Source organism: Homo sapiens, chromosome 10 (assembly GCF_000001405.40).
Source record: "Homo sapiens chromosome 10, GRCh38.p14 Primary Assembly".
In the NCBI taxonomy this organism is placed as follows: domain Eukaryota; kingdom Metazoa; phylum Chordata; class Mammalia; order Primates; family Hominidae; genus Homo; species Homo sapiens.
The window spans coordinates 78,924,054-78,934,921 of record NC_000010.11 but is presented as its reverse complement, the minus strand read 5'-3'; positions in this window follow the sequence as shown (position 1 = coordinate 78,934,921).

The following is a 10,868-nucleotide window of genomic DNA, read 5'->3' as shown; positions in this document are numbered from 1 at the left end:
AGTGAGCACTAAGAATTTAGGGGGTGACTCTATGACAAGGTCTCACAAACAGAGGGGCCACTATCATTTGAGAACTTCACAGCCAGGGCTCATGGGGCAGATGGGAAAACTGAGGCCCAGAGAGGGGCCAGGGCTGGCCAGGCTCACGGAATGGATGGGGTGGAGCTGGGAGTGAGCCTTACCTCATTGGCTGGGAAGTGAAGCCTGGTCTTGTGGCTGGAAAAAAGCCACAGCAGTGATGTCATGAAGGAAGGGAAGGGTGGGACTGAGATGGCACACACTACACCCCTATACAATGACACAATGACACAGTGCTGCAGGCTCTTGCGATGATACCACTAGCTGCCTCACTTAGTTCAACGTATGTCTTGAGTCCCTCTTTGTCAGCCAAGCACGCTCAACCTCAGGTGTCTCTTATGAAGCCAGAAGGAAGGGCAGGAACAAATGAGAAGATTCCCTTTTAAAATGAGAAGGAAAAAGAATTCCTCCTGGCTCTTCAGCAGCCTCCCCTTCCCGTAAGGGAATCTATGAATTGGAGATGTTTTCGGTTGCGGAGCTTCCTTGCCGCTCAGTTGGCTGTTTATCTAGCCCCTCGCGGGTGCTGTGAATTTACAGCTTGGCCTCTCTGGAAGCAGCTTCTGGGAGAAAGATGGTGGAATTTTATTCTTGCTAATTTAAAACAATAATAATTGTTCACGCGTTAGGAAGCATTCCTATTAAATCAATCCAATCTTTTGGAACAACTGGAATTGAATGCAGCCAAGTTTCCAGATTGGGCCCCTGTTGGCTTTGTGATAGTCACTTGTTCATCCAGCCTTTGGCTTGAGCAAGCAATGGCTGACACGGCCCATGGGCCACCCCCACTAAGCACAGCGCATGGGAAAGAGACAGTGTCAAAGAATGACAAGGGTGACCCCTAGATACAGGTGTGATCATTTTCCTGGGGAACAGGAAGACAGGTGAGTAAATTGCAGTGACATAAGCTGCAGTTCTGGGACCAACAGGACTCACCCAGTGAGCAGATACCTGGTGGTGCCTTTCACCAACATCAGGAATCCCAAACGGAGGATGCGTTCTGGGAGGGGTCGGGGTTCTCTTTGGACACATCGGTCTGTGTTCAGCTTGTGGTGAACATGGGTGAATATGATTAAACCAAGTCCAAGGCCGGGTGGAAACTGAGGCCTGGATCAAATGAAGGTGAGGTGGAGGGGGTGGCTACTCAGAGAAGTCAGGAGCAGGCCCAACCCCAAATCAGTCTGCAAGGGGAGAGGAGAATGGGGATAGACGTCCATCTCCAGTTCTCCAAGGGGTCTGGCAGACACCATGAGAACAGCTATGCAGCCAGATCTGTGGGGAGGTCAAGGAACCAGACTGAACTCTAGGCTGCAAGTCCATGCTGAGAGCTGGCCTTTATTGTGGCTCCTCACACACACTGTGGGGCAGAGCAGATGCCCACATGATACTGGCACCTTGCAGGTCTGTATTAGAGGAGGCTCACTCATGGGGCCCATGGACCATCCAGGAGGAGATGTCTGGCGGGCAACTGGACAGAGCAATCTGCATTCTAGAAGAAGGTGGGCGCTAGCCGAAAGGAAGTCTCTGCACTGTCCTCGGAGCTGCTTCTGGATGGGTGGTGCCTTTGGATCACTCTCTGGGGTGGGCATGGCAGAGCAGGAGAGACTGGCTTGGGGACCTGGAGCTGGAGGCCTCCGTGGCAGCAGGGCCGTATGTCCCTGTTAGCCAGGGCTGCGCCCGTGGCCTGAGTGAACGTGGCTAGCATCCCCTTTCAATCCCAAAGAGCTTGTTTGGACAAGAAATAATTTTGTTTATGTTATCACGCCATCTAAAACAAATTTGCCAGTCTGTGGGCCGCCCATGAGCCTGCCAACAAGGCTCTGCCCCAAAGAACCTCTCTGCCTCATTTCCTGGTGCCAACCTTTATTAGCTTGGTGGCCTCTGTGTTTTTCAGCTCCATCTTTTTCTTTAATGCTGCAAAATGGTCATCATAGAAATCACATGGGTGTGTATTTCCCAAAGTAGCTGTGATACCGACGTGGATAACGATCTTTGGAAGTGCTCAGGGGGTCTACAGGAGACCCTGATCTCTCTCTGCTTCCATCTGTCTTTGTCTCTCTGTTTCTGTCTATCTGTCTCCTCTGTCTCTCTCTCTCTCTCTTCCAGAAGTCAGGCTGCCATGCCTTTGAGGCTAGGAAAGCCACACCGACTCTTCTGGGGCTGAGAGCACTGTGACTTCCCTTTCTCTTTTCTTCCCCCTTTCCTCTTCATCCTGAGGACTCGTGAAGGACTCATTTTCAGGAGCCTGGGCCGTGAGTACAGATGAAGAGGGCTCCAGAGGGGGAAGGGGCGGCCATCACACTGCACCCTGTGAGGACATTTTCTTCAGTTTTGGAAGCTCCAGACCTGGATCTGACAAAAAGCAGCAACGTCTCCGAGGAGAGAGAGGCAGGCTGTTTGGAAGGAGGGAGGTGGAAATCCTGCTTCTCTGGGGGTTCAGACCCCGTGGGGAGGGTTGCATTTACTCAGGATGATCATGAGGCTTGGGTACATATCCAACTCAGTGTGTTGAAGAAACAGGGTATTCTGCCTAGAGAAGTCTCAGAGGTCAAGGATTCACCACTCTTACAAGAAAGGATGCATTCTCCTTTCTGGAATTGATGCCCAGTGAGCCAGGTTGCCTGAGGAGGTAGTGAGTTCCCCATCCCTGGAGGAATGGGAGCAGAGATTGCCTAACTACTTGGTGGAGATGCTGCAGAGGTAACAAAATATGTGCTGAGGTTGGACGGTTGACATCCAGAGTTCCTCCCAGGCCTGGGCTTCTACGACTCTCCCAACACCAGCCTCTGTTTCCAGCAGCCAGCTGCCTTCCGGATGAGTCAAAAGCCCGCCCCATGCTGGCTTTCTCACTGGGTGGGGTTCCTTCCCCTCCTGTGGTCCAGGGTCACTGCTTTCATGGCCTCTGGGGTTGCCTCTTGCAGCCATCCCTCTTCTGGAGTCAAAAACTGAATAAATTGGTTAAACAAGGAAAAGGGGAAAAATACACACGCACACACAAAAAGACTGGGAGATTTAGTCTGGAATGAGAAATACCGTCCTGCTCTGGCCTTCTATCATAAGCCCTTTGAGATGAATATTCTGACCTAATAATCAAAACAAGCGGTAATTGCAAACAGACTCTCTCAAGGCTGCATGGCGTGGCCGAGGAGAGAGCAGACGAGATACCTGCTGAGCACAGCAGGCCTGGCCCCGCCAGCCCTCCTCCCTCTCCCACAGGATCGATGCGGCCATGCAGCCGCGGGCACCATTTTGCTGGCCTGGCTGGATCGAGCCTCACTCACATTCTGCCTTCCTCCAGGGACCCCAGGACTCCCTTTGCAGGGGAACCTGCTCAGAGGAAGCCAGCCCCACACCCACCCGAGAGGGAGTCGATGGAACATCAGCAGCATCCTGCAGGACCGCAAGGGGAGGGAAGGAGGGGCACTCCCACCCGACCCGAGCTCCACCTCCTCCTGGCTCGGGAAGAGGCTCTCCTGGGTGCGACACCAAAGCTGGAAGGTCTTCCTGTCCCCTCCTGGCCCCCACCTCCCTTTGTGTGTTTTGTTTCAGACACACCCTCAGCTCAGATTTGCTTTGAAGGTCAGTAGTTTCCACTCCTTCTTTTCAAAACAACTGCACAGTTCTTCTGGGGCCCAAATGTTGATCCTCTTCACTGAGGAATGAGTTTCCCTCAACAACAAATACATTCCAGAAATATCCATCCAGCATCTCTAATGGGCCAACGATGAACCAAGTCTGGTCCTCGTCCCCAGGGCACTCCCACATTGAGAGCCCAGCCAATGTGTGCCACACACCCCAATGGACAAGGAGGTCAGAGTGTGCTTCTTCTTCTGTTCTTCACCTGGGAGCCATGGGAAGGCATGCTTCCCCTGGGCAGGGTCAAAGTAGAAAAGAAATTGGAGCTAAGTACTGAAGGAAGAGGTGAATTTTAATGAACAGAGGTGGTTAGGGAAGGGTCTACCAGATGGATGGAACAGCTTGAGCGGAGGAGGAGAGGCTGGACAAGTGGGTAGCATTTTTGAGGACCGTCTGGTGGTCTATTGGGGCTGGTACCTAAGTCTGTGGTTCCATCGAGGTGGGGCTCGTGTGATGAGATGAAACTGGACAGATGTGTGGATTGAGGTCACATTGGGGTGGACTTTGAAGAGCTTGCTGAGGAGCTGAATTTTATCCCAAAAGGAATGGGGCCCTCTGGAGGGTTTGAAGCAGAGCTGAGGTTGAGATGCCTTCCACTGGTGACATAGGGTGTGGACTGTAGAGGGAGACAGTGGAGGTCAGAGGCTAACTAGGAAGGGGTCAACTGTGAGGTGAGAGGCAATGCAAATCTGACTCAGAGCAGAGGCGGTGGAAAGAGGGAGAGGAGCAAAGTCTGGGGGCAGTTTCTTTTCAAAAGGTCCTCACTGGATCAGGGGCTTTGCTTGGGTGCTGGGCGGGGTTGCTGAAGGATTGCCAGGTTGGCGGCATCAGGAGCTGAGGAGGTCAGTTTTGAAACCAATGTCATGTTTTTGTATTTTTTCATTTTGAAATAATTTTAGATGCACAGGAATTTGCAAAGAGAGCGCAGAGTGGTCCCTTTACCCACTTTCCCCCAATGGTTACAGTTTGCTAATTTAAGGATGATATCAAAAGAGACCGATGGCATTTGACTTCAAGCCCTCCCAGCCCCTGCCTGGTGAGCTCATGGGTCTTCGTGAGGCCTGTGAGGCATGAGCTGTGGCTCCTTTGGCAGGCAAGCTTTCTGAAGTGCTGGCCTGTCCCAGCCACTGCCATCCTTTCCTGGAGATGTAGGGTCTGGGCAGGCCCAGCTGGGCAGGGAGGCCTCAGGAGCTTCTGCCCACAAGCAGGCAGGTTTGGAACTTGTTGGGCAGTTTGGGCTCAGAATCTGCAGGGCAGGGGTCAGCTATATTGACTCAAGCTGTGTGACAGGTTTCCTGCCTCAGTTTCCCTTCTTATCACTCCAGGTGCTGGCTGAATCTGGAAACTGCCTCTCAACCCCAAAGTGTCTGGCTGAGCTGTGCCACCCCGACCTGCCCCCCAACTCCCACTCCAGATTTCAGACTGGCTCCAGAGGCTACTCAGAGTGCAGCATCACTGCCCACAGGATCCTTACAACACCAAGGGCCACTGTACTGTCTTAGAAACAGGAAGCAACCTCAACCAAGGCCAAACTTGTCCATCCTTTTGAGCTCTGCACAAAGTCCTCCTGGGACACACCTTCTTGTCAGGCCTCCAGTCTTGCCTGCCCAGATCCCTTACTCCCTGGAGGACTGGCCTGAGAGAAGACAGCCCCCCAGCACTGGGTCCCTGTGCTCTTTAGCAGGGACAACATGGTCAAGTTTTGGGCAGGTCTTGGGCTGGGAGGCAGGGCATCTGTTGTTTGGTCCACCTCTGACCTGCCATGTGACTCCAGGAATGCCACTAAACCCTCTATTGAGGACAATTTCAATACTGACCATAGGTGGTCCGGATGCACCAGAAGAAATTACTGACATGGGCAAGTTTTGGAAAGTAATGTTATGCAAAAATTTAAAAACTGCTCTAGACATTTGATCAGTTGCTAATTCCCTCTCACAGTTTTTCTACTGATCACTTTCCTTATCCGTGAAAGATAAGTAGTCACAAAACCACTTGTGGAGCTCCTACCATGTTCTAAGTGCAGTGCAAATATCATCCTAACATGGGTGGTTTTTACAAGAGAAGGGACCAAGGCTCAGGGAGGTCGAGGAGGCTCTCCGTTTCATGAACATTGATAAAGGCCCTGCCATGGCATTTTGTTAGACTCAATGCTGGGATTTTGGCCCAAGCCTGCCCTTACCTCCACACAGTTGGGAGCCTGGTGTGACACAAGGGATCCAGCCTGGACTGTGTGCATCCTAAGCAAATGTTTTCCCCGCCGCATTGCTTGCTTGCTTATTGCAGACGAGATTTTTTCTGTGACCAGGCAGGGGCTTACAAGGGCTCTTCCTGATCTCTCCCCAAAGATGCAATGGAGTCCCACATCTGTAGCATGCCTCCCTGCAGCACTCAGCACTTACCCAGGCAGGCCGGAGTTGACCAGCCTTGGGTGCAGGCTCAACTCTGTGTTGCTTTTCTGCTCCGGGCTCTGCCCTGCAGTCCACCCAATGCTCATGCCATGCACTTCTTCAGCTCCAGCAGCTTCCATGGCTCCCAGGGGCTGTTGAATTCAGTCGGCCTCCTCAGCCCGGGGTCCCAGTCATCCTCAGTCTACCCCCACTGCCTTCTCTATTCTTTCCCAACTCTTCTCCTTGTGCCATGGACTCCCTGCAGATCCTGTGGCCACTGTGGGGCTCTCTTTGCCCATCAGGAGGGAAGGGCCAGATTTTCTCTCTTTCAGGTGTCTGGGCTGGTCCTAATCCCTCACCTCTTCTCTTCCTGAACTCTCTTCTCTGCCTCACCTCTTCTCTGCCTGAATCCATCCTTTGCCTGGCTGGTGTGCACACTCCCCTGCAGAGCTTTCCCCAACTGCTTGGATAGGAAAGGGGAATGAGACGCCCCAGTGCTAGGAAATGGAGCTTGTGGGGCTTCCTTAGTCTGAGCTGGAGCTTAGGTCATGGCTATATTTTACTGATGTCTGTCTATCTAAAAATGGCATTTTCCCACCAGAAGAAGCATTTCATGAACCAAAGCACACACCAGAGGCTTGCTATTGGGGTCACGGTGAGACAGACAGTGTGACCTTGGAGGGGGATGTGGGAGAGGTCATGTTCTTAATCACAGAAACATAGGCCCCCTGCAAGCATGCAACACTCCTTTATGGAATACCTTTGGGGTTCTAGGCTGGGACTCCACTCCTGAGGGTCAGAAAGGACCCTGAGAGGGTCTTTTTCCTTAATGGACCTAAGGGGAGAAAAACTAAGATGACCTCTGGTGTGCCCCCATCTCACCTGTCCCTCATCTTACTGTCCTTGGAGACTTTTCTTTTAAAGGGAAACTGAGAGATGCACCAAAAGCCAAGTGCTGCAATCCTGACAACCTGGTTCATTTGTGCATTTGTTCATTTACTTACTAACCCATGTGACCGTGCACCTGGTGCTGTCTGCGTGCAAGCAGCACCCAGAGCTGCCGCGGGGGAACCAGGCCAAAGAGCCACTGCTCACTGGGTGTTTCAAGCCACCCATCTTTTGCTGGTCATTTAGGAGATGTGGACTGGCCTCCTGGTCTCCCTTCCTGGGGCTGTGTGGGAGCCCCCTCTTGTCTCCCAAAGGTGAGGCTCAGCATGCCTCCTTCAGGCTCTTTCTGCCTCCACCCACTTGGCCAGCCCCTGACCCGCTCAGCTTCAGTTCAGGGCCCATCCTCCCCTGGGCCTTGGCAGTGTCAGCAGCCAGACCAGTTGCCCGGGTTGGGGTGGCATTCCTTGTGGCATCCCAGAGGACTCCACCTGCGGCTGCTTCTGATGGCTCCTGGGAGGGCCCCATGGCTTCCCAGTGTCCCAGGCGGATTACTCATCCATCCCTGGAGCGTTTATTCCACCGATGCTTAAGAACGCCCTCTGTGTGCCATGCACTGCACTCAGGGTCTGCTCCCCAGGGAACTTGTGCCTCTTTGGTAACATCTTCTGGTTCCCAGTCTCTCAGTGTGTCTCCCTCACCACTGATTTCTATGCCATTAATACCTGGGGCTGGGGACCCACAACAAATACTTGCTGATGAAGAGAAGGAGGACATTTGGGACAATTCTCCCAAGGAATCAACATTTCAGCAAGGTCTTAAAGAGGAGTAGGAGTTTCTTAGGCAAATAAAGGACTGGGAAAGGCCAATCTGGTAAAGGAACCAGCATGAACAAAGGCTTGGGGTGGGGGAGTGGCTGAGATTTTCCGTGTGCCTTCAGGTGAGATGACAGCATCCTGGGAGAAAAGGTGCAAGGGAGATTGACAGCAAAGGGGGGGCCAGTTGGGGACCCTGCAGAGCCTTGAAGGCCCCACTCGGGGATTTGGACTTCAATCTGCTAAGGGTCACTGGGGGTTTTTCAGAAAGGGAATGACAGCATTTTATTTATTTATTTCTTAGGTGGGTTACTGTGGGAATGGGTGGAACAGAGACACAACTCAAGAATGACAGAGATAGGAGAATATTTATATATAAGTCTTGTAGAGCCTCTTTTAAGATTTACATTTAATAAATCCCTCAGTAGTGATAAGGCAGCAGCAAACCTAAAAACAGTAGGATGGGGAGAACAATGGGTTTTTAGATTTTCCTGTTATTTACCTACCATCAAAGAGGCCACCATCCCAGAAGGACTTCCCTGTAATTCTAGTGGCCATACTTGTGTGTATTTAGCTTTACTTTCCTTTTTGCTGTCTCAGACTAATTTGATTTTCTCATCTTCTGTCCATGCAGCCTTCAGAAGATAATTATTCGGAAAAGAAGTGTTGGTCTTGTGGCTTCGTTTATTAGAGACACAGCAGCTTTCCTGGGTAAATGAGACACCTGACTTTTGTAAAGCAAAGCTGTATGCAATATTTGTCACACAATTATGTGCACACGTTTAGCATACCTGCCAGGAAAAAAAAAGACTTTGGGGGCTCTAAAGCTTGCCAGGCGTATTTATGCATGTTACAGGTGTCATGCTTTTCCCAGAGTCCTTATCTGTTTTGAAGTCAGTGGATGCTAGAAGTGAAGTCTCTACCATCGGCATTTATTGGTTGGCATCTGATATGAGACATTATCAATCAACTTAAAGGACACTGCAAATACACACACACACATACACACGAGCATGCTCTCTCCCACACACCACTGCCTGGGACTAAACCTCAGGCTGATGATTCAACCTATGGGATGTTATTGCTGGGAAGGATTTTGAAATCATCTAGGCCAACCACTCATGTTAAAGATAAGGTAACTCGCTGTAGCCTAGAGAGGAGAAGGGACTCGCCTACAATTACTCAGCAAAGGGAAGGCTATCGGGAGAGACTTGAAACCACAGTGGCTAAACCCCATTCCAGCAAGTACACAGCCAGGAAAATTACATGATAGTAAATGTTCTTACTGGGCTGTGCCCTCAAGGAGGGCTGTGTTGTTTTTTGCAGGGTTCCAATCTAAGCTATGGATTTCTACTTTGGACAATGTTGGTTATACCACAATTCTTGTTTCATAAAAGGAGCTGAACACATCTCAGAACTGGTTTTTATATAGGTTGGTTTCTATTCCACCCATCTCGTTCCTTGGCAGTGGGAAAACATGGAGATCCAACTGTCCCTGGAGAGCAGTGTTGCTGTGCCTGGAAGCTCTGGTGACTCCAATGCCCCTGTCAGGCAGATGGATAGGATTTCCTGGAGTCTGGTCCTTTTGAAGTCTGTTCTCACTTAACTCCTACATACATTCCCTCCTTTTTCTCCTTCTCCCTTGATAGATGTGAGAAAAATTAGCATTCTCTGTTGGTGTTTATCCAATAAGGCCTCACTGAGCACCTGCCATGCACAAGCTCACCTGTGGTGGATGGCGGACAAATGCCAAGGAGGGCCATGTGGGCTCGGCACATGAAAGGCACTCGCTGGCAAATGTCGCCACTTCCTGGGTATCAGGGACCGCTTCTGATTACCCACTCATCCATTCATTGATTCTTTTACTGAATTATCTATATGTCAGCAAGTGACTGTGACGTCTCTCGTACTGAAACGCAGTATTTCATTTGCTTATGTCTCAAGGCCATGCTTTAACCTTTTTATGTGGATTACTTAATTATTTTAAGATTTTTATATAAGCATCTATTAAACTCTCATCATATGGCAGACAAATGATCTCAGAGATGCCTTTTTCTATATAATATGATTTTGTTCCTGCTGTAGCCTTAGGAGGTGATTATTACTGCTATTGTTATTTTTCAGATGAGATACCTGCATATATTTTGTTTTGGGTTGCCCAGGCAAGAAGTGGCAGAGATAGAATCCATTGCCAAAGACGAGTTTCGTGGTCAGAGAAGGTGCCCTGGAGGGGTTGTGTTGGGGGGACCATGGATGGGGCTTACTGCATTTGAGGTGCCATCCAGGGGGCAGTATCTGGCAGGCGTATGGCTCTGTGGGATGAGTAGGAGCTTAGCAGAGAGGCCTGGGGTTGCAGAGAGAGGGGCCACCCTCAGATGTTTGAGCCCCTGGCAGAGGTGGTTCTCAGTGGGGGTAGTTTTGTTCCTCAGAGGACATTTGGCAATGTCTCATGACATTTTTCATTGTCACAACTGGTGGGTGCTGCCAGCATTTAGTGGATAGAGGCCAGGGACACTGCTAAACATCCTACCCTACACAGGACAGCTCCCCACAGCAAAGAATTATCTAGCCCCAAATGCCATTAGTGCCTGGGTTGAGAAGCCTTGTGACTGAGTGAACAGAGAAGCGCTGGAAAGGTGGAGCCTAGAGAAACGGCAACCTTTGTGGGAGGAGTTTAAAAGGCTCTTCATCTCAGGCACTCTCCTGACACCCTGGAGGGTTTAAACGTGCCCCAGGCTGTGATCATCACAAACAGCCACCATAAGTGCGAGGGCTCTCATTGTTTACATATAACAAGGCAGCAAGAGTGTCTTCTCTTTAACTAGAATGAAAGATTCATGAAGTCAGGAATTGGTTTGGTTTGCTCGTGGGTTTATGTGTCCACTCAGTACTGACTCAGGGCTGCGCTTGTCATCCTAGAGAGAGCCAGGCCCTCCTGATGCTTCTGTCACCACCAGCCCTGTTCCTACCCAGGAGCTCTTCTCACCTCTCATTGCCTTTGCCTTCCTGTGCCCTCAGGGCTGCACAGGCATGTCCAGATTCCAGTGACCTTTGGTGCCTTTTCTCTGTC